The following is a 24327-nucleotide window of genomic DNA, read 5'->3' as shown; positions in this document are numbered from 1 at the left end:
ATAATATTAAATAATCAGGTAATGTGAAGTGAGTGGCTATAGGAAGGGTGAGGAAAATAATCAAATCTGGCAGACTAAGAGAACTCAAGCAGTGCAGCTTTGCGTGGATGGTTGAAAAGCAGTAGCAACTGAGATCAGCCTTATACTTCACATACAAAAATCAGATGAGATGACTCATCTTGAGCAAAAAGTGTCATGAAGCCCATGAAACCAACTAGAAAAGCTGGGTACTGGGAGACAAAGACAAGCCAACCAGTGAGCTGGTTACCTGTTCACCCTGGGAAACTGGTTCTCTAAAAATTGTTATTTTATGGAAAATAAGGCTGACCTCAGCAGCATCTTTAGACAAAAATAAGACACCCATGACTGTTAAAAGAAACAATGAAGTTGTCTTAACAATCAGAACCAAATTCTTGGTTCCTCCAATCCAAAAGGGAAAATTGAGAGGAGGCAGTATGGCTCTGTAGTCAGACAAACCTGAGACTAGAATCCCACCTCTGCCTCTGCTAAGTGACTAGAGCAAGTAGCTTTACCACTCCAAGCCTCAGTTTTGTCATCTGTAAATGGGAATAATAACACAAAGCATGTTGCAAGGATTATTTGATACTTTAAATGTAAAGCATACTTAGTACAGTTCCTGACATGTAGAGCCCAATGTTATCAAAATAAAGTTTTATTGGGGGGAAAGGGGAAGAAAATGTGACCATATTAGTGTTTGTGATATAGACTCTGCTATATAGAGATAGTGACATTATACAAAGGAAATGGAGAGCCATGATCTCCTATCTTAGGTGATCACTAAAGGGCCTAACTAAAGCTTAGAATTTCCATAGCTTGTGGGAGAAAGCCAGCTGAAATAGAATTGCAAGTGTCCTTGCTCCAAATGCAAGGTAAATGATTTCCCTTCTTTCTCCTTTGGTTCTGTTTTTCTCTTCATGCTTTAATCATTTTGACACCAAGCTGTACAAAAGTAATTTGAAATTAACATGTCTGACACTTGGTAGCTAGCAGAACCTGATTCTGAACCCTGCCCCCTCTCCAGGGCAGCCAGAAGTCATCTTTCATTGGTTACTGGTCCTGCAGCAGCTGATGAAGGGCCCAGGAAAATACATCCAACAATTAATTTGCTAATTTAGTTTTCTGTTTAATCTGAAACCAGAAAATCTTCTATCACCCAGAAGCTTGGCTTTCTGGCTTGAACATTGACTTCTGAAACTTCTTGTTTAGTGAGCAAAGAAATAGAAGAGAAAGGGAAAAAGCCTAACTACTTAGGTACATATCGTTACCCCTGTGCCCGTCTATTTTCAAAATGTTTTTCTGTAGGATCATAGAGTTCACAATTTCTTTTTCTTCTTCTTCTTCTTCTTTTTTTTTTTTTTTTTTTTTTTTTTGGTTAGAGACAGGGTGTATGTTTCTCAGGCTGGAGTGCGGTGGTGCAGTCACAATTCACTGCAGCCTCAATCTCCCAGGCTCAGACAATCCTCACACCTCAGCTCCTTGAGTAGCTGGGACCACAGGTGCGCACCACAATGCCGGGCTAATTTAAAAATTATTTGTAGAGTGGGTGCGGTGGCTCATGCCTGTAATCCCAGCACTTTGGGAGGCCGAGGCAGGCGGATCACCTGAGGTCGGGAGTTCGAGACCAGCCTGACCAACATGGAGAAACCTTGTCTCTACTAAAAATACAAAATTAGCCAGGCGTGGTGGCGCATGCCTGTAATCCCAGCTACTCGGGAGGCTGAGGCAGGAGAATCACTTGAACCCGGGAGGCGGAGGTTGCGATGAGCTGAGATCACGTCATTGCACTCCAGCCTGGGCAACAAGGGCAAAACTGTCTCAAAAATAATAATAATAATAAATTAAATTAAATTATTTGTAGAGTTGGGGTGTCCCTATGTTGCCTAGGCTGGTCTTGATCATCCTGCCTTGGCCTCCCAAAGTGCTGAGAAGCCACTGTGCCCAGCCTTTTTTTGTTGTTGTTGTTGGGGGTGGGGCTGGGGGGCGTGAGGTACAGGGTCTTGCTCTATTGCCCAAGCTGGTCTCAAAGACTTGGCCTCAACTGATCCTCCTGCCTTGGTCTCCCAAAGTGCTGGGATTACAGGGGTGAGGTACTGTGCCCAGCCCCACGAGTTATTTTACCAGGAGAATTGGAAGCAATACCTTCATATTCAGTGTAGGTAAGTGCTTTGTGAGCTATGGAGAATTTCCAGACCAATATATGTTTAAGATTTAGAAAACTACTTTAGGGTTTCGAACAGACCCAGATGAGTTTCTAACATTTGAAGTAAGTATTGCTCTAAGTTGTAAAGCAGCTTTCAGCTTCCCTGGAAACTTTCCACTGATTTCAATAGGAAGAGGCAAAGGAAATTTGTATCAGAGATTGAAGAGATTTGTATTTGACTCTTGGCCCAGAAGACAGACAACAGGTATGCTATGACAGGTTCCTCTGGTAAGTTTTCCCTTACTGCCTTACTGGAGAGTAGTTCAATTAACAGGAAAAAGGGGCAGGCTTAACTTTTTTTTTTTTTTTTTAAAGAGATGGGATCTCGCACTGTCACTCTGTCACCCAGGCTGGAGTGCAGTGTCACAATCTCAGCCCACTGCAGCCTTCGCCTCCCGGGTTCAAGTGATTCTCCTGCCTCAGCTTCCCAAGTAGCTGGGACTACAGGCGTGTGCTACTACACCCAGCTAATTTTTGTACTTTTAGTAGAGATGGGGTTTCACTATATGTTGGCCAGGCTGGTCTTGAACTCCTGACCTCAGGTGATCCGTCCTCCTCAGCCTCCCAAAGCACTGGGATTACAGGTGTGGTGTGAGCCACCGTGCTTGGCCCGCTTAACTCTCTTTCTTTCTTTTTTTTTTTTTTTTTTGAGATGGAGTCTCATTCTGTCACCCAGGCTGGAGTGCAAGTGGCACGATCTTGGTTCACTGCAACCTCCACCTCCCAAGTTCAAGCGATTCTCCTGCCTCAGCCTCCTGAGTAGCTGGGATTACAGGCATGCACCACCACACCCGGCTAATATTTGTACTTTTAGTAGAGATGGGTTTTCGCCATGTTGACCAGGCTGGTCTCCAACTCCTGACCTCGAGCGATCCACCCACCTTGGCCTCCCAAAGTGCTGGGATTATAGGCATGAGCCACCGCGCCCGGCCAGCCCGCTTAACTCTTAAGTATGTACCAAAACCCATGCCCTTTCTATTACTCAGAATGTATTTTACTCAGTTGGTGATTTGATTTTACTTCCTATTTTCCCATCTCAGTCACGTTAGACTTTTTTGCCTGACTTCTAAGACCTTGTGTATTCTGTCCCAACCCTACTTATCAATCACTATTTCTAACTCTTCATCAAAGTGTCTATTCTAATTTGGCCAAACTCACCGTTCTGAGAACGTGCCCCTATGTTCCTGCCTCCGAACCTTTGTTCATTTCCCTACTGATTTTCCTCCACATGCTTCTCTCTCCTTTATTCAAATCCTATCTGAACCTTGAGGCCCACCAGGGTCTTATTTCCTCAACTCAGTCTTCCCCACTACTAATTTCTCCCTTCCTGTACATCGATAGCATTATGTAGTGTTCCAAATTGTTGACCACTCTAGTGAAAATCATGTTCAGTTATTTCATATCTCAGGTCTAACTTTACAAATAAACTATATTTTATATACCTTTATAAAATATATAAAGGTATTTCTTGGGTATCCCTTACAGGGATTCCTCACTGGCCATTCATGATAATCACTGGATGCTTATTTAAAAAATAGATGATCAGGTTGTATCCTCCCAGAGATTTTGTTTTGTTAGAACTAAGATGGGCTAAGGAATCTGTATTTTTTGCATACATTCAGGTACCTAACTAATCCCCTGATAGGAGTTGGAGAATCACTGCTCATAGCACTTGCCATAGAAGACACTCAACTTGAGTATAAACATTTGGGTGTTAATTACATATACAGTATATACTTATTTATACTACATGGTGACCTCATAGGTGGGCACTCTACAACCAAGTCTACACTTTAGGGCACAAGTTGGAAGGCAGATAATCTGGTTCACTCTCCGTGGCACCGGTTTGGTATGTTTGAAAACAGAATCTCCTTTAGGTCTGTGATCTCTTGGTAATTACGTTTGCAGAGTAGAACAGGTTGATAGAATTGTAGCTGATTAAAAACAGTTTCCTATTCTCAATCAATTGCAGTCTGTAGCATTTGTTTGTGGAGTGATATTTAGGGGGAAGGAGACTGATGTGGGAAAAAGCTGGTCAAATTCTGCCCCAGGCATTACAAAATTAGTAAAATGAATCTTCCTGCCCACTCCTCACCTCATATCCTAAATCCAGCTCAAGTGTTAAACGAAGAAGGATTAAGCTGTGATTCCCCTCCTGGGGTACTTGTGTTTTAGAGGGAATCCTCTGAAAGTGAGAAGAGAGGATTATCTTAATGACCCCCAATCTTACTTGACAGGCAGACTGCCCAGAGCCCGAGATTTGGGAGAGCATTCTCTTACAAGATGACCCCCTGGACACCACTCTGCTTCTTCCTATAGTTTACAATTCTAAGTAGAATAAACAGTGACTAAAAAAGTTTCCATTATTCTCAGAGCTGAGCAATTTAGATGTGGACATGCTGGTCTGCTATGGGTATTGTTAGAAGAAACATTTGGGTTGCAAAGTCCCATCACTGTTTTGCTGAAATGCCATATTGTGGATTTTCCATATTCTCACACTATTAGATTCAAAGAGAAAACTCATGAGTGTTCTTTATATTCGTTCAGCAAATATTGAGTGCCTATTATGTCTCAAGTATTGTCCTATATGCTAGGGATAAAACAGTGAACAAAATTCATGGAGGTTACATTATGGGAGAGACAGCAAAGGGGTGATGAGAGAGATATATAAACAAAATAATGATATATGTTAAATGATAAGTGCTGTGGAGGAAAAATAAGCAGAGAATGGAAATGAGTGTTGGGGGAGGGTTTAAATTTTAAATTGAATGGGCAGGGAAGATCTCACTGAGAAGGTGACACTACAGTAAAGAAGAGGGTGAGGAAGCAAACAAGCTATGCACATATCTGGGAAAACAAAGTTCCTAACTGGTTTAATACTTCTCAGATCCTAGGTTAAGACCTTTAATTTGTTAATTTGAACCTAATTCTAGCACCATTGCTAAATGCATAATTTTCCCTTTGAAAGCTACTCAGTCATCAAAAATATAAAGTCCCATGAGTCTTGGTTGAAAATTTCATATCAAAAAGTAAATTTTGGCCAGGCACAGTGGCTCACACCTGTAATCCCAGCACTTTGGGAGGCCGAGGCGGGCAGATCACCTGAGGTCAGGAGGTCGAGACAAGCCTGGCCAACATGGTGAGACCTCGACTCTACTAAAAATACAAAAAATAATAATAATAAATTTTCTTTTTTTCAAGATGGAATCTCACTCTGTAGCCCAAGCTGCGTGCAGTGGCGCGATCTTGGCTCACCACAACCTCCACTTCTGAGGCTCAAGAGATTCTCGCGCCTCAACCTCCCAACTAGCTGGGACTACAGGCATGTGCCACCATGCCCAGCTAATTTTCTTGTATTTTAGTAGAGACGGGATTTCGCCATGTTGCCCAGGGTGGTCTTGAACCTCCGAGCTCAGGCGATCCACCTGCTTTGGCCTCCCAAAGTGCTGGGATTACAGGCGTGAGCCACCATGCCCGGCCAGTTTTGTGGGTATTTTTTAAGTAAAAAAAAAAAAAAAAAAAAAAAATACCAGGCCAGGCACTTGTGGCTCACACCTCTAATTCCAGCACTTTGGGAGGCTGAGGCAGGACAATCACTTGAGCCCAGGAGTTCAAGACCAGCTTGGAAAACATAGTTAAACCCTGTCTCTACAAAAAAATAAAAATAAAAATTAGCCAGGTGTGGTGGCATGTGCCTGTAATCCCAGCTACTCAGGAGGCTGAGGTGGGAGGATCCCTTGAGCCTAGGAAGTTGAGGCTGCAGTGAGCTGTGATCACAACACTGTACTCCAGCCTGGGAATGAAAAAAATAAACAAACCAACAAAAGAATACCAATAAGAGCCTTATATGTCGCTCAGCATTTCAGCAAATATTTATTGATAATCTACTATGAGCCAAGTATTGTATTAGGCATTGGATATACACATGGTGGTCCCTGCCTTCATAGAATTTACAGTCTAGAGGAAGAGACAGACAGTAAACAGGTAAACAGAATTATAAATTGTGATGAACTTTTCTGAATGAAAAGAACAAAGCCTGAAAGAGAGAATAATGGTATGAACCTCCTTCAAGATTGATGGTCAGGAAACGCCACTCTGAGGAAGTAAAATTTCTGGCAGGATGAGAAGGCACCAGGGTGAGGGTCATTCCAGGCAGAGAGAAGAGAGTATGTGTAATTTTCTGTTTGTTTGTTTGTTTTTGAGACGCAGTCTCACTCGGTCGCCCAGGCTGGAGTGCAGTGGTGTGATCTCAGCTCACTACAACCTCCACCTCCTGGGTTCAAGCAATTCTCCTGCCTCAGCCTCCCGAGTAGCTGGGATTACAGGCGCATCCACCCGGCTAATTTTTGTATTTTTAGTAGAAACGGAGTTTCACCATGTTGGCCACGCTGGTCTCGAACTCTTGACCTCTGGTGATCCACCCGCCTTGGCCTCCCAAGTGCTGGGATTACAGGTGTGAGCCACAGTGCCTAGCCAGTGATAGTTCTTAAGATGGAAAGTTACGGCTAGGCATGGTGCCTCACGCCTGTAATGCCAGCACTTTGGGAGGCTGAGGAGGGTAGATCACCTGAGGTTAGGAGTTCGAGACCAGGCTGACCAACATGGTGAAACCCTGTCTCTATTAAAAATGCAAAAATTAGCCGGGCATGGTGGCACACACCTGTAATCCCAGCTACTCGGGAGGCTGAGGCAGGAAAATCCCCTGGACCTGGGAGGCAGAGGTTGCAGTGAGCCGAGATCGCACCATTATACTCCAGCCTGGACAACAAGAGCGAAACTCCCTCTTGAAAATAAAAAAAAAAAAAGATGGAAAGTTATCAAATTCTGGCCGGGTGCAGTGGCTCATGCCTGTAATCCCAGCACTTTGTGGGGCCAAGGTGGGAGGATTACTTGAGCCCAGGAATTCAAATGGGCAACATAAGGAGACCCCCCAGTGTCTACAAATATATATATATATATATATATATTTTTTTTTTTTTTTTTTTTTTTTTTTGAGAGGGGTCTTGCTCTGTCTCTCAGACTGGACTTCTGTGGCATGATCTCGGCTCACTGCAGCCTCTGCCTCTTGGGTTCAAGCGATTCTCCCGCCTTAGCCCCAGAGTAGCTGGAACTATTGGCGCGAGCTGCCACACCTGGCTAATTTTTTGTATTTTAAGTAGAGACGGGGTTTCACTATGTTGGCCAGGCTGGTCTCAAACTCCTGGCCTCAAGTGATCTGCTTTCCTCGTCCTCCCGAAGTGCTGGGATTACAGGCATGAACCACTGTGCCCAGCCTACAATTTTTTTTTTTTAATTAGTTGAGTGTGGTGGCATGTGCCTATAGTCCCGGCAATTCAGGAGGCTGAAGTGGGAGGATCACTTGAACCTGGGAGGTCAAGGCTGCAGTGAGCTGTGACATGATCTCTGATCTCACTTCTGCACTTCAGCCTCGGTGATGGAGCAAGACCCTGTCAAAAAAAAAAAAAAAAAAAAAGAAAGAAAGAAAGAAAGAAAGAGAGGAGAGGGGAGGGGAGGGCAGGGGTTGGGTTACCAGGTTCTATTTGTTACCAGACGAACACAAAAAGAAGCTCAATGTAGCTGACAGGTTGGAGAGGTAGGTGAGGCCAGTCCATACAGGGCTTTCTTGGACCTCAAAGGAGTTTGTATTTTATTCTAAATACAGTGAGAAGCCATTAGAGAATGGTAAGTTAACAAAGAGAGAATTGAGAAGATCCTAGAGCCACAATATTTCAAAAGGTTTCTTACTGATGAAGAAACTGATGCTCAGAGAGGTTCGGTGACTTGCCCAAGATTACACAATCCATAAACCGTGGAATTGAGATTTAGTCTCTCACAGCCTCTGATTCAAGGACTCTGTTCTTTCCACTATTATCTAATACTTGCTTGGGCCAAAAGCTTCACAATATTCTTGACTCCTCTCTATTTCTCTTATATTCCTCATCATATCCATCAGCAAATCCTGGCACCTCTACGTCCAAAATATGACCACTTGTCACCACCTGCACTGCTATCACCCTGACCCAAGCCACCATTATTTCTTGCTTTGATTCCTGCAATTGCCTCCTAACTGGTCTCCCTGCTTCAGCTCTTCCACTCCTACCTTCTATTTTCTACACAGCAGCCATAATAATCCTTTAAAAACATAAATCATATTTACAACTATTATGTACCCATAAATTTTTTTAGAGGCTGAGTGTGGTGGCCTGTGCCTGTAACCCCAGTGTTTTGGGAGGCCAAGACAGGAGGATCACCTGAGGCCAGGAGTTTGAGACCAGCCTGGGCAACATAGTGAAACCCGATCTCTTCAAAAAAATTTTAAAATTAGCTGGCATAGTGGTTCACACCTGTAGTCCTAACTACTTAGGAGACTGAGGCAGGAGGATCACTTGAGCCCAGGAGTTCAAGGCTGCAGTGAGCTATGACTGCGCCACTACACTCCAGCCTGGGTGACCCCGTTGTAAAAAAATTAAATAATTTTATGTCATATCATAAAACATAAGTCTTTCCCCTACTAAAAACCCTCCAGTGGCTTCTCATCTCACTCAGAATAAAAAACAGAGAGGTCGAGCACAGTGGCTCACACCTGTAATCCCAGCACTTTGGGAGGCAAAGGCGGGCAGATCACTTGAGCCCAGGAGTTCAAGACCAGCCTGGCCAACATGGTGAAACCCTGTCTCTACTAAAAATATAAAAGTTAGCTGAGTGTGGTGGTGCACACCTGTAATCCCAGCTACTTGGGAGGCTGAGGCAGGAGAATCGCTTGAACCTGGGAGGCGGAGGTTGCAATGAGCCAAGACTGTGCCACTGCACTTCAGCCAGCCTGGGCAAAAGAGCGAGAGTCTGTCTAAAACAAAACAAAACAAAATAAACAAAGACCCCACAATGATTTACAAGGCCTTACAAGTCTGTCCCCTCCACTCCCACTTTCCTGACCTCTCTTACATCTTTCCCTTGGCTTATTCTATTTAGCTACAATTGGTCTCCTTCAACAAGGAAACTCCTGTGTCAGGACCTGTGCATTTGCTGTGCCCTCTGCCTGGCAAGCTCCTCCCCCTCATATTTATATGGCTTGTTCTCCCTCTTCTTTTATGTCTCAGCTCAAATCACCTCATCAGTGAGTTCTTTCTGTCTACCCTTTGTAAACTAAAAAAACTCTGTCCAGCCGGGCGCGGTGGCTCACACCTGTAATCCCAACACTTTGGGAGGCCGAGGCGGGCAGATCACAAGGTCAGGAGATCGAGACCATCCTGGACAACATGGTGAAACCCCATCTGTACTAAAAATACAAAAAATTAGCTGGGCATGGTGGCGCGTGCCTGTAATCCCAGCTACTCAGGAGGCTGAGGCAGGAGAATTGCTTGAACCAGGGAGTCGGAGGTTGCATTGAGCTGAGATCACACCATTGCCCTCCAGCCTGGCAAGAGAGTGAGACTCCATCTCAAAAAAAAAAAAAAAAAAAAGACTCTGCTCAAACCATAATTTCTATCTCCCTTAACACTGCTTTATGATTCTCAATACCCTCATTATCATTTAATACACTATAGGTCTACTTACTTATTATTTTGATCCTTCCCATTAGAATGTAAGTTGCATGAGAATAAGAACTTTATTTTATTTTCTGTTCTTAGAACACTGTTTTCAGCTCTGATAACACTGCCTGGCACATAGTAGGTGAATAGAGGCAGTTGACTAAAGAATAGGACCGATGTTTTCAATGACTGAATTAACAGAAAGACAAAGTCATTCTTCTGAGGATGGGAAAGCATGTTGTAAACTAGGAAATGATATAAAAAGTTTATTTCTTCCAGTTGGTTCTTGATTTCTAAGTCTTATGATCCTCTTTGAAAACCTTTACTAAATAGAGTAGACTCAAATGATCTTGGATGCAATGCTGACTCTTGGTAGGCCACCAAATACATAACTGGGTGTCAGGAAATGCGGTCTTGCCATCTTTCTCAGGCTCACTGCCATAGCTAGCAAGGACCTCTTGCTCCTTTCTTAGGTATCCTTGCATGCCTTTGGCTTTTCAGAATTTTTTATTCTGGGGAATGGGAGTGATGGTTGATGCCCTGTCTGTAGTTGAGATTCTGTACAGGGAAAGTCATTCAGTTAAATCAAGCAGTATTGAATTCCTAATTGACACAAATGAGACAGACAGACAGCTGGAGGAGTGGGGGAGGGACAGAGAGCAGGTGCCCTGAATAATGGACAAAGAAGAGAGGCAGAATATAAATTGAAGCTAATGGTGAAGAAGCTCACTGTGAGTCTAGATTTTGTGCCACAAGAAAAGTAAACTTTGCCACAGCTTACTTTACGTAGAGCGGAAAGGATCCAGTGGTGTTTTTGCCAAGGATAAGGCAACAAGTTCCAAATGCTTGTGCCATTTTGGCTGCCCTGATGGCCAAGTTTGCCTCTTTTCAGGTACCATCATTTGTGAGAATCACTCTTAGTAAAGTCCTCATTCTGTGTTTTTTTCCAAAACAAACTTAATCACGTAGTGTTTGAACGAAAGAAACTGCTTTGAAAATTCTATTTGTCAAACAAAGGGATTCTTAACACGTAAGTTAGGAAGGTGAAGGGAAGGATGTTTCTAGATCTTCAAATGCCAGACATAGGGGGCATTCCTGCAGAGAAGGCATGTATCTTGTCAACTCCAGAATTTCCTCTGAGAATGCTGGGGGCTTTTTTCCTCTCAGTCCCCTCTTGATCAGAGCTTTGACTCCCCAGCTCAGACAGTTCTTTTCTGTAGCCATGGGAATTGCTCCCATAATTAGCAGTGTCTCCTGCCTGGAACTCAGACAAGTAAATGTTCAAACCTGGCAGCCGATCCTGGGAAGGAGAGCTGATTAAATCTTTCCTGTCGAGAGGCACCTTTTTGATTTGAATGTGACACCTACATCCCCCACCTCAGGTTTGTCTGGGGGAAGCAGTTTTGCCCATATCTTCATAACTGAAGATCCTGGTATTTTAAAGACACATTTAATCTTAAAAGGAGCCCATTGGTTTCCCAAGTTAAGTAACTTAGGAAAAAGCCTAGGCTTTTTTCCTCTCCTGGCCCCTTCTCCACTAAACACCACCCTGTGTTTGGTATGATGAAAGCTCCTGCTACACAGGTATCATCAAATGCCAGAGGCCTTGAGAAATAAAACGAGTTCAGAACACCACTAAGTACACATAAGTATTAACTACAAATGGAGGAGTGAAAGAGCAGGCAAACTATTTCTTTAGAAGTTTTAGTAAGACGGGCTGGAACCATCAAGCCCCAAAGTGAATACTCTTGGTGATATTCCGTTCCAGGAAAGCTTTCTACAGGCGGAGGTGTATTCTTATCTGGATGTAGCTGGATTATGTACTACCATTCAAACACTTTTGGGAGAGACAATATCCATTTTCCTACTGACATCAAGGCAGCCTTTTAAGTTTATCCAGATTTATTTTGGTTAGTGCAATAAAAAAGCAAGGTTGGAGAATTATGTTTAACAAAAATAAAGTCATTGTATGCTTAAAGTTTCCCACTGAAAGCTGCTTTTAAAGCAGTTTGCTGCTGCTCAGCTCCAGTCACCTCAGCAATACTTGCATTCAGTCAGATTGGCTGTGAACAAAGCAAATTTACTTCACACACAACAGCCCTAAACCTCCACTCTCAGGACAGAAGTCTTCCTTAGCAATGTTTTCTACATGGCTCTGGTTAAGGGCCATTCACTTACCTCTAACCTCTTTCTCCTGGGAGACAAAGGCACCTTTGGGCTGAAGTGACACAGGAGAGTTAGAATCAGATTTGTTATCGACATTGCAGCCTTCAGTTTCAGTAAGAGGCTAAATCTGTCTATTCCAACTACAGGAAGGCAATCTTTATAACCCCTGGAGCACTTGGCCAATTATGCACCTGCAAATATACCATACAGGACATTTCAGGTTCCTAGGCACTTTGAAAACCGATACTTAAACAGACTCAAGGGATGCTATCACCCACCTCGAATAATAGCTGCTTTGGAATCTGTTATTGGCACCAGAAAAAGAAAGAGTCCTCTGAAGTCATTCTAAAGCCATTTTTATTGTGCATTTTCAAACAAAGAACCTCACCAAAAGAACTTCTGTTACAAAATCAGGGTAGAAAGTCAAACTCATCTCATCTAAGAGTCAATTACCCTGGCAATTTTGTGAGGCGATGGGAAATGAGCGTTAGAGGAGAGGACTGTGGGGAGGAGGTGGGATTGGCTTTTAAAATCCCCTGGGTGAGAAGGGTGTTCCCACTGACTCTAAACCCTAACAATTGCAACAGAAGGGCCTCTGTGACTTTCTGGCTATAAACTTTTTATGATTATTAACTGAGGAAACCTAGAATATGTGGAATTTTAACAGTTGGCTTTCAACCTCCATTTGCTCCTTTCTCAGAAACTTGGTTTTGCACAGTGTAATAATCTAAGGCTCAGAATTTATGTTAGTTACCTTGCTGTTCCTTGATAAAAAGCTACCTTCTTACATATCTTACTTCCAATAAAGAGGCAGATTCCCTATGTACTGTTTATCTCGGGAAAGAAATACATGTGGGAAAAGAAGCAATTTTCTTCTCATTGCAATTAAATTAAATCATGACCACCTGTTGTGGGATTATCCTGCCATCTGCTGTTCAAAAGAGAAACAACAGCAGAGAACCAGAAAGAAGAGGCAAAATGTTGGAAAGCTTTGCTCCCAGATGTCCATCAGTTGATTACGGTTATTGGTATAGTTAAAATTTTCAGTGTTACACCTCTTTTAGAATTTATCTATCAGGTTTTCCAGTGTTCACTGAAATTTGTCTCTTAGACAAGTTCTAAAAGAGCTGTAACACTGAAGATGGTTCTCTTCTCTGGAAAAACTTCCCACGGGAAAAACAAAAATCTTCCTTTAAAAATTTTTTTAAAGGATCTCACTTTCTTTCTTTCTTTCTTTTCTTTTTTTTTTTTTTTTTTTGAGATGGAGTGTCGCTCTGTTGCCCCGGCTGGAGTGCAGTGGCGTGATCTTGGCTCACTGCAACCCCCACCTCCTGGGTTCCAGCGATTCTCCTGCCTCAGCCTCCAGAGTAGCTGGGATTACAGGCATGTGCCACCATGCCAGACTCATTTTCGTATTATTATTATTTATTAATAATAGCTATTGTTTTAGTAGAGACGGGATTTCACTATGTTGGCCAGGCTGGTCTTGAACTCATGACCTCGGGTGATCCACCCGCCTCGGCCTCCCAAAGTGCTGGGATTATAGGCATGAGCCACCAAGCCCGGCCTCACTTTCTATTTATTTAATTTTTTTGAGACAGGGTTTGCTCTGTTGCCCAAGTTGGAGTACAGTGGCATGATTATGGCTCACTGCAGCCTCTAACTCCTGGGCTCAATTGATCCTCCCACCTCAACCTCCCAAGTAGCTGGGACCACAGATGTGCGCCACCCCAACCAGCTAATTTTTGTTTTTATTTAAAAAATTTTGTTGAGACAGAGTCCACTCTGTTGTCCAAGCTGGAGTGCAGTGGTGTGATCATGGTTCACTGCAGCCTTGACCTCCCAGACTCAAGTGATCCTCCCACCTCAGCCTCCCAAATAGCTGGGACTACACCACTATGCTCAGCTAATTTTTGTATTTTTTGTAGAGATAGTGTCTCCCTATGTTGCCCAGGCTGGTCTCGATCTCCGGGGCTCAAGTGATCCTTCTGCCTCGGTCTCCCAAAGTGCTGGGATTACAGGTATGAACCACTGTGCCTGGGCTGATTTTTTTTAATTTTTAAATTATTATTATTATTTTTTTGAGACTTGCTCTGTTGCCCAGGCTGGAGTGCAATGATGCAATCTTGACTCACTGCAACCTCTGCCTCCCGGGTTCAAGCGATTCTCCTGCCTCAGCCTCCCGAGTAGCTGGGATTACAGGCACGCACCACCATACCCGGCTAATTTTTGTATTTTTAGTAGAGATGAGTTTTCACCATGTTGGCCAGGCTGGTCTTGAACTCCTGACCTCAGGTGATCCGCCTGCCTTGGCCTCCCAAAGTGCTAGGATTATAGGCGTGAGCCACTGCTCCCAGCCCTGATTTATTATTAATATTTTATTTTGTCTACAGGTTTTCCCCAATCTTTTTTGTTTGTTTGTTTGTTTTGTTTTGTTTGAGACAGAGTCCAGGCTGCAGTGCAGTGGCACGATCTCGGGTCACTGCAACCTCTGCCCCCCAGGTTCAAGTGATTCTCCTGTCTCAGTCTCCTGAGTAGCTGGGATTACAGGCACGTGCCACCACGCCCGGCTGATTTTTTTGTATTTTTAGTAGAGACGGGGTTTTGACATGTTGGCTAGGCTGGCCTCGAACTCCTAACCTCAGGTAATCCACCCACTTCTGTCTCCCACAGTGCTGGGATTACAGGCGTTAGCCACTGTGCCCGGCTGTTTCTCCCTAATCTTATCCATATCCCTGGTTTCTTCCTTGGGATTAATAGGGAAAATATGAAACTTTAATTTTCCCTCACTCTTGGCAAAATAATAATAAGATTTATAATCCTATTAAAAGGCATATTCTCCACTCAGTAATCTAAGTCATATGAGTGCGTCCCCTGGGCTTTTCATTGTCTACCACTCTAATTGTCTCCTATCTGGTCTTCCTTTCTCCAGGGCATTGTTCACACCACTGCCAGTCAGAGTAATCATTTTCCAATGCAAAATTGGTCAAGCCATTCCCCAGCTCAGAATCCTTCAATGGCTCTCACTTTCTTTCTTTCTTTTTTTTTTTTGAGTCTCGCTCTTGTCACCCAGGCTGGAGTGCAATGTGCAATGGCGCAATCCTCTGCCTCCCCGGTTCAAGTGATTCTCCTGCCTCAGCCTCCTGAGTAGCTGAGATTACAGGTGCCTGCCACCATGCCCAGCTAATTTTTGTATTTTTAGTAGAGATGGGGTTTCACCATGTTGGCCAGGCTGGTCTCGAATTAAAGTGCTGGGATTACAGCCATGAGCCACTGCACCTGGCCGGCTCTCACTTTCTTGTAGGATTAAGTTCAAGATCCTAGTCCTGACATTCAAGGCCTTTGGGTTGAATTTAAGTTCCCTGATTTATCAGGTTATTTTATACCTCTTTGATTTTGCTTGTGCTGTTTTCCTTGCCAGAAACACCCTTTCTGGCCATATATACCTGACAAACCATGCCCATCTTTTAGGTAGCTGGATGTCAGCTCTTCTGGAAATCTCTCTTGGTTTTCTGCCCCCTGATAGAACTGGTCATATCCTCTTTTGTGCCACTGGCTCCCCTTCCCCAACATACTTTAATGACATCACTTATCCCAAGGTCATATAATTTTCTATTTCCTTTTCTGTCTCCCTCACTAGAATAAAAAGCTCCTTAATAGGTTATGAGTTTCCTACTAGATTATGTATCTCAGCACCTAGAACTGTGCCTGGTTTATAGTAGATGTTTAGTAAATGTCTGTGGAATAAATCCTGTAGAATTTATCTAGCATTTTAACTTTTTTGTTGTTTGTTTGTTTAAATTTAATTAATTTACTTATTTTTGAGACAGAGTCTCACTCTGTCACCCAGGCTGGAGTGCAGTGGCACAATCATAGCTCACTACAGCCTTGACCTCACGGTCTCAGATAATTCTCCCACCTCAGCCTCCTGAGTAGCTAGAACTACAGGCACCCACCACCACACCCAGCTACTTTTTGTATTTTTGGTAGAGATGGGGTTTCGCCGTGTTGCCCAGGCTCTTCTGGAACCCTTGGGATCAAGCAATTTGCCCTCCTTGGCCTCCCAAAGTACTGGGATTACAGGCATGAGCCACCACGTCCAGCCTAGCATTTTAACTTTCAAAGGGCTTTCTCTGCACTGTTTCATTTTATCTTTTTTGATCCTGCGAGAAAGTAAGGGCAGGTATTAATTTACTGTGACCACTTTATGGATGAAGAAAGGGAAACAGCAGACAGCTGGTAAGTGGCAAAGCAAGAATTTGAGCCCAGTTTTTCTGAGAAGAGAAAACCACGACCCTGTATACTGTCGCTCTGCCCAGATCTTCTCAGATCTTCTACCAGTTCCTCCTGACCCTCCCTTGGCTTCTGTTTGTTTTTGCTCCCAGTAACCAGCTCCTGAGACGACACTTCAAAAGAGGAAGATCCTCAAGTTACTAGAATGGTTTTGTTCCTTACTTATTCCCTGGTCTCTAGCAAATGATTGATTAGATGCAGGAGTCTGAAAGACTGGCATTCTTGCCTCTGGGTAGAGTTTATACTCTTGAGCTCCTTCAGGGATTAATAGGGATTAAACTACTCTCTTGAGGACTTTGCCTGAAATCTCACCTTTGCGTGGCTTTTTGCTTTTTCCCTTCCCAGCTCAACTTCTCCTATGCCCTACTGACTTCTTGGAGCGTTTCCTTAAGACCCTGTCCCCCACCCCACCCCCGCCAAAAAAAAAAAGAGAAAAAAAAGGCTGGGCATGATGGCTCATGCCTGTAATCCCAGCACTTTGAAAGGCCAAGGTGAGGATCACTTGAGCCCAGAAGTTCAAGACCAACCAGAGCAACACAGTGAGATTTCATCTCTGCAAAAATTAAGAAAATTAGCTGGGCATGGTGGCACATGCCTGCAGTCCCGGCTACTCGGGAGGCTAAGGCAGGAGGATCAATTGACCTGGGAGTTAAGTCTGGCTGCAGAGTCATGATTGTGCTACTGCACTCCAGCCTGGGTGACAGAGTGAGACTGTCTCCCAAACAAACAAACAAACATCTCTTACTGAGAAATCCTGTTTCAGGGTCGGCTTCCAAGTTTCCCGAGGCATCCAACTAAGTGTGTCCTTAGCTCCTACTATATGTCAGAACTTGTCAGGTGCTTTTACAAAAGCTAGTTTATTTACACAAACTCTCTAAGAGTAAAGTACATATATTTAATTGTTTTTTGAGGGTAAGACTGTGTCAAAAAAAAAAAACCTTCATTAAAATAGTCTCTTTTTTTCTCCTACTATGAAATTACCTTTCATTAACTATAAATCATTCTAATGGCCATGTCTTCTTTGGCAAGTTTCCTCACCTCTAGACCCCAATATTTTTACCTTTAAAGTGAGGAAATAAGATAATAAGAATACCTATCATAATAGGATAGGTTAATGGAAAACAGAATAGCGCCAAACATGTTAACTTAATAAATGTTGGCCATTGTTATTATTTTAGTACTTCTACTGCTACTTGTAAACAGGTTATGCTCCAAAGGCTGTGAATCCTTTTGTTCATATGTGTGTTGTAGTGCTCAACCACAGAGACTCAGGATAGTCAAAACACTAACACTAAGTCATTTGTGTAAGTCCCAGATCTAACATACCAAGAAGGGGCTGGTTGCTCGGATATCAAATAGTTATTTCCAAGTGGGTAGATCAGAAATATAATTGAATTGTCCTCACAAGCCACAAGAGTAAATTTCTATTCCCTCTTGTGGTGACTCTGAGAATTACCATTACCGCTTTCATCAGAGACCTAATAGTACCAAATTTGCAAGGAGACCACTGAGAAACTACACTTAATTCAGAAGCTCCCAAGTTGGAGTTCCAAATCCCTACATGTCAGAGAAGGTGCTAATGAATATTTTCAAAATTTCAAAAAATAGAGCAAAAATCATTCAATTACTTATGAAAAAGAAGAAATATTTTCACACATATTAACTTTTTTTTTAATTTTTATTTTTTTTATTGATCATTCTTGGGTGTTTCTCGCAGAGGGGGATTTGGCAGGGTCATAGGACAATAGTGGAGGGAAGGTTGGCAGATAAACAAGTGAACAAAGGTCTCTGGTTTTCCTAGGCAGAGGACCCTGCAGCCTTCCGCAGTGTTTGTGTCCCTGGGTACTTGAGATTAGGGAGTGGTGATGATTCTTAACGAGCATGCTGCCTTCAAGCATCTGTTTAACAAAGCACATCTTGCACCGCCCTTAATCCATTTAACCCTGAGTGGACACAGCACATGTTTCAGAGAGCACAGGGTTGGGGGTAAGGTCACCGATCAACAGGATCCCAAGGCAGAAGAATTTATCTTAGTACAGAACAAAATGAAAAGTCTCCCATGTCTACTTCTTTCTACACAGACACGGCAACCATCCGATTTCTCAATGTTTTCCCCACCTTTCCCCCCTTTCTGTTCCACAAAACCGCCATTGTCATCATGGCCCGTTCTCAATGAGCTGTTGGGTACACCTCCCAGACGAGGTGGTGGCTGGGCAGAGGGGCTCCTCACTTCCTAGTAGGGGTGGCCGGGCAGAGGCGCCCCTCACCTCCCGGACGGGGCGGCTGGCCGGGCGGGGGGCTGACCCCCCCACCTCCCTCCCGGACGGGCTGGCTGGCCGGGCGGGGGCTGACCCCCCCACCTCCCTCCCGGACGGGGCGGCTGGCCGGGCGGGGTGTTGATCCCCCCACCTCCCTCCCGGACGGGGTGGCTGGCCCGGCAGAGGGGCTCCTCACTTCCCAGTAGGGGCGGCTGGGCAGAGGCGCCCCTCACCTCCCGGACGGGGCGGCTGGCTGGGCGGGGGGCTCACCCCACCTCCCTCCTGGACGGGGTGGCTGGCCGGGCGGGGGGCTGACCCCCCCACCTCCCTCCCGGACGGGGCGGCTGGCCGGGTGGGGGGCTGACTCCCCCACCTCCCTCCTGGACGGGGTGGCTGGCCAGGCAGAGGGGCTCCTCACTTCCCAGTAGGGGCGGCTGGGCAGAGGCGCCCCTCACCTCCCGGACAGGGTGGCTGGCCGGGCGGGGGGCTGACCGCCCCCACCTCCCTCCCGGACGGGGGGCTGACCCCCCCACCTCCCTCCCGGACGGGGCGGCTGGCCGGGCGGGGGGCTGACCCCCCCACCTCCCTCCCGGACGGGGCGGCTGCCGGGCGGAGACGCTCCTCACTTCCCAGACGGGGTGGCTGCCGGGCAGAGGGACTCCTCACTTCTCAGACGGGGCGGCTGCCGGGCGGAGGGGCTCCTCACTTCTCAGATGGGGCGGCTGGGCAGAGACGCTCCTCACCTCCCAGACGGGGTCGCGGCCGGGCAGAGGCGCTCCTCACATCCCAGACGGGGCGGCGGGGCAGAGGCGCTCCCCACATCTCAGACGATGGGCGGCCGGGCAGAGACGCTCCTCACTTCCCAGATGGGATGGCTGCCGGGAAGAGGCGCTCCTCACTTCCTAGATGGGATGGCGGCCGGTCAGAGACGCTCCTCACTTTCCAGACTGGGCAGCCAGGCAGAGGGGCTCCTCACATCCCAGACGATGGGCGGCCAGGCAGAGACGCTCCTCACTTCCCAGACGGGGTGGTGGCCGGGCAGAGGCTGCAATCTCGGCACTTTGGGAGGCCAAGGCAGGCGGCTGGGAGATGGAGGTTGTAGCGAGCTGAGATCACGCCACTGCACTCCAGCCTGGGCACCATTGAGCACTGAGTGAACCAGACTCCGTCTGCAATCCCGGCACCTCGGGAGGCCAAGGCTGGCGGATCACTCGCGGTTAGGAGCTGGAGACCAGCCCGGCCAACACAGCGAAACCCCGTCTCCACCAAAAAAGTACGAAAACCAGTCAGGCGTGGTGGCGCGTGCCTGCAATCGCAGGCACTCGGCAGGCTGAGGCAGGAGAATCAGGCAGGGAGGTTGCAGTGAGCCGAGATGGCAGCAGTACAGTCCAGCTTCGGCTCGGCATCAGAGGGAGACCGTGGAAAGAGAGGGAGAGGGAGACCGAGAGGGAGAGGGGAGAGGGGAGAGGGGAGAGGCAGAGGCAGAGGCAGAGGCAGGGGCAGGGGCAGGGGCAGGGGCAGGGGCAGGGGCAGGGGCAGGGCTGGTCTTAAAGGGAGAAGAGCCACATATTAACTCTTTTAATCCTAATAGCCCTTTGAGGTAGGTACCATATAATCATTCCCATTTTACAGATGGAGAAGTTGATTCCCAGAGACTTTGAATAACTTGCCCAAGGAAATGAATAAGGTTTGAACCCAGTCAGTCTGGCTTTAGGGCATGTATACTTAACTACCCAGCTGTATGTTTGCAGTAATATAAGCTTCATTTCCCCAGTGCTTTCTGTGTGCCAGTCCCCAAGCTAAGCTAACACCATACATCCTTACAACTAAGCTGCACTTTGGAGATGGAAAAGCTCAGACTCAAAGGGGCATGAGGGCCCGGGTGCGATGGCTCATGCCTGTAATCCCAGCACTTTGGAAGGCTGAGACAAGCAGATCACTTGAGGTCAGAAGTTCAAGACCAGCCTGCCCAACATAGTGAAATCCCATCTCTACTAAAAATATAAAAATAAGCCGGGCGTAGTGGCAGGTACCTGTAATCCCAGCTACTTAGAAGGCTGAGGCAGTAGGATCACTTCAGCCTGGGAGGCAGAGGTGTAGTAAGCCAAGATAGAGCTACTGCACTCCAGCATGAGTGACAGAGCAAGACTCAGTCTCAACAAAAAAACAAAACAAAACAAAAAACCGCAAAACAGGCTGGGCGCAGTGGCTCATGCCTGTAATTCCCAGCACTTTGGGAGGCTGAGGCGGGCGGATCACCTGAGGTTGGGAGTTTGAGACCAGCCTGATCAACATGGAGAAACCCTATCTCTACTAAAAATACAAAAATTAGCTGGGTGTGGTGGTGCATGCCTGTAATCCCAGCTACTCGGGAGGCTGAGGCAGGAGAATCGCTTGACCCTGGGAGGTGGAGGTTGCAGTGAGCTGAGATCACGCCATTGCACTCCAGCCTGGGCAACAAGAGCGAAACTCCGTCTCAGAAAACAAAACAAAACAAAAAAACCCAAAACAATCAAAGGAGCATGAGGAAGCTTTTGGGGATGATGGATACACTCATAATCTTTATTGTAAAGATAGTTTCACAGGTGTATGCAAATGTCAAAACTCATCAAATTGTACCCTTTGCAGTTTATTGTATGTCAATTCAATACAGCTGCTTAAAGAAACAACATTGATATATCACATTATACCATTAGATTGGCAAAAACTAGAAATCTGAGTAATGCTAAGTGTTAGCCAAAATGAGGTATATAGGGACCCTGATGGGAGTATAGATTAGTGCAGCCATTCTAGAAAGCAATCAGCCAGTACATAGTCAAATTAATTTTGACAATAGTTTCTGTGCCAATTATTCTGCTCCTAGGTTGATATTTAAAAAGAAGATAGCTGGTCCAAGTGCAGTGGTGTTTGCAACTAATTGATCACAACCAGTTACAGATTTCTTTGTTCCTTCTCTACTCCCACTGCTCCACTTGACTAGCCTTATTAAAAAAAAAAAAAAAAAAAAGAAGAGCCGGGCACGGTGGCTCACGCCTGTAATCCCAGCACTTTGAGAGGCCGAGGCAGGTGGATCACTTGAGGTTGGAAGTTCGAGACCAGCCTGGCCAACATGGGGAAACCCCTTCTCTACTAAAAATACAAAAAATTAGCCAGGCATAGTGGCACATGCTTGGAATCCCACCTACTGTGATGGCTGAGGCAGGAGAATCCCTTGAACCTGGGGGGCAGAGGTTGCAGTGAGCCAAGATCGCGCCATTGCACTCCAGCCTGGATGACGAGTGAAATGTCATCTCAAAAAAAAAAAAGAAGAAGAAGAATCTCATCATAATGAAACTGCACAAAATCAAGGGGGAGAGAGAAAATTTAAAAAAATAAAAGAGCCAGGTGCAGTGGCGCACCCTGTTGTCCCAGCTACATGGGAGGCTGAGGCAGGAGGATGGCTTGAGTCCAAGAGTTCTGGGCCATAGTGTGCTACGTCCATCAGGTGTCTGTTTGCACTAAATTCTGCATCAATATGGTGACCTCCTGGGAGCTGGGGGACCACCAGGTTGCCTAAGGAGAGGTGAACTAGCCCAGGTTGGGAACTGAGCAGGTCAAAACTCCTGTGCTGATCAGTAGTGGAATTGTGCCTGTGAATAGCCACTGCACTCCAGCCTGGACAATGTAGTAAGACCCTGTCTCCTAAAAAAAAAAAAAAAGAAAAGCAGGGGGCACGGGCATGATGGCCCATGCCTGTAATCCCAGCACTTTGGGAGGCCAAGGCAAGAGAATTGCTTACCTAATTGCTTACATGCCCTAAAGCCAGACTGCCTGGGTTCAAACCTTATTCATTTCCTTGGGCAAGTTATTCAAAGTCTCTGGGAATCAACTTCTCCATCTGTAAAATGGGAATGATTATATGGTACCTACCTCAAAGGGCTGTTAGGATTAAAAGAGTTAATATGTGTGAAAATATTTTTCTTCTTTTTCATAAGTAATTGAATGATTTTTGCTCCATTTTTTGAAATTTTGAAAATGTTCATTGCCTAGGAGTTCAAGACCAGCCTAAGCAATATGGGAGACCCCATCTCTATCCCTCCAAAAAAAAGATAAAAGAGAGGAGGACTTAAGCTACCCAGTTTCAAGACTGAGTTATAAGCACTGTAAAGCATGGTAATCAAAACTGTGCTATTAGAAAGATCTGTAGATCAATAGAATAGAGAGTTCAGGAACAGACTCACACATATGTGGTAAGTTGATTTTCAACAAAGATGTTAAGAAAGGGTAGTCTTTTCTAAAAATGGTGCAGAAACAATTAGATATCCATAAGGAAAAACAATTTCAATGCTTATATCATACTCATATAGTATATGATACCATAAAAATTAAATGGAAATGGATCATAGGCCTAATCGTAAAAGCTAAAACTTTTGCAAGAAAACAAGAGAAAAATCTTTGAGAACTTTGGGTAGAAAAAGCTTTCTTAGAAAAAAAAGAAAATTAACCTTAAAACAAAAACTTGAGCTGGGAGCAGTGGCTCACACCTGTAATCCCAGCACTTTGGGAGGCCAAGGCAGGTGGATCACAAGGTCAGGAGTTCGAGACCAGCCTGGCCAAAATGGTGAAACTCCATCTCTACCAAAAATACAAAAATTAGCCAGGCGTGGTGGTGCGCACCTGTAGTCCCAGCTACTGGGGAGGCTGAGGCAGAAAAATCGCTTGAACACAGGAGGTGGAGGTTGCAGTGAGCCAAGATCAAGCCACTGCACTCCAGCCTGGGTGACAGAGCAAGACCCTGTTTCAAAAAAGAAGAAGAAGGAGAAGGAGGAGAATAAGAGGAAGAGGAAGAGAAGAAGAAGAAGAAAGAAAGAAGAATAAGAAGAAAAAGAAGAAAGTTTGGGTAATTTGCTCAAAGTCACACAGCCAGTGGGTGGTGAAGCTAAGGTTTCAAACCTGGATTTGTCTGGATCTGGATCTGTCTGATCTCAGAGCCCAGTTTAGGAGAGCCCAATTTAATTGTGAGAAGGGGATTCCTTTTTTTTTTTTTTTTTGAGACAGTCTTGCTCTGTCGCCTAGGCTGGAGTGCAGTGGTGCAATCTTGGCTCACTGCAACCTCTGCCTCCCGGGTTCAAGCAATTCTCCTGCCTTAGCCTCCTGAGTAGCTGGGATTACAGGTGCCCGCCACCACGCCCAGCTAATTTTTGTGTTTTTAGTAGAGACGGGGTTTCACCATGTTGGTCAGGCTGGTCTCGAACCCCTGACCTTGTGGTCCGCCTGCCTCGGCCTCCCAAAGTGCTAGGATTACAGGCATGAGCCACCGCGCCCGGCGAAGGGGATTCCTTTTTATCTGTAGTCTTTATTTATATCTAATCTCATTTCTATAAACCACATAAGAACAACAAATTGTTATTATTTTTTTTTTTTGAGACAGAGTCTCGCTCTGTCGTCCAGGCTGGAGTGCAGTGGTGCGATCTTGGCTCACCACAAGCTCCACCTCTGGGGTTCACACCATTCTCCTGCCTCAGCCTCCCAAGTAGCTGGGACTACAGGCAACTGCCACCACGCCCGGCTAATTTTTTGTATTTTTAGTAGAGACGGGGTTTCACCGTGTTAGCCAGGATGGTCTCCATCTCCCGACCTCGTGATCCACCCGCCTCGGCCTCCCAAAGTGCTGGGATTACAGGTGTGAGCCACCACGCCCTACAATAAATTATTTTTAATGCATCATCTAATAGTGTATGCTTTTCACATAATTAGTGACAAATGTTTGCTTGAATAATACATGTGCAGTGTTTACAGGTATAGGAATTCCTTTCAGACCTTTAAAACAATCTTTTGAGATGATATAATCATTAAAAAACTTAAAGCTGAAAAACAAATG

General features: G+C 45.3%; 1 non-coding gene and 1 pseudogene across 1 annotated transcript; both read left to right on the top strand.

Moving 5' to 3' along the window:
* Positions 1-12960: 12960 nt before the first annotated feature.
* On the top strand, positions 12961-13024 carry LOC124904769 (U7 small nuclear RNA). The gene has a single exon (XR_007067342.1). It is a non-coding gene; the product is annotated as a U7 small nuclear RNA (small nuclear RNA).
* Positions 21847-22148, top strand: RN7SL679P (RNA, 7SL, cytoplasmic 679, pseudogene; annotated as a pseudogene).

Source organism: Homo sapiens, chromosome 1 (assembly GCF_000001405.40).
Source record: "Homo sapiens chromosome 1, GRCh38.p14 Primary Assembly".
In the NCBI taxonomy this organism is placed as follows: Eukaryota; Metazoa; Chordata; class Mammalia; order Primates; family Hominidae; genus Homo; species Homo sapiens.
The sequence above is the reverse complement of the archived record's forward strand: the minus strand, read 5'-3'. Positions and strand labels throughout refer to the sequence as shown.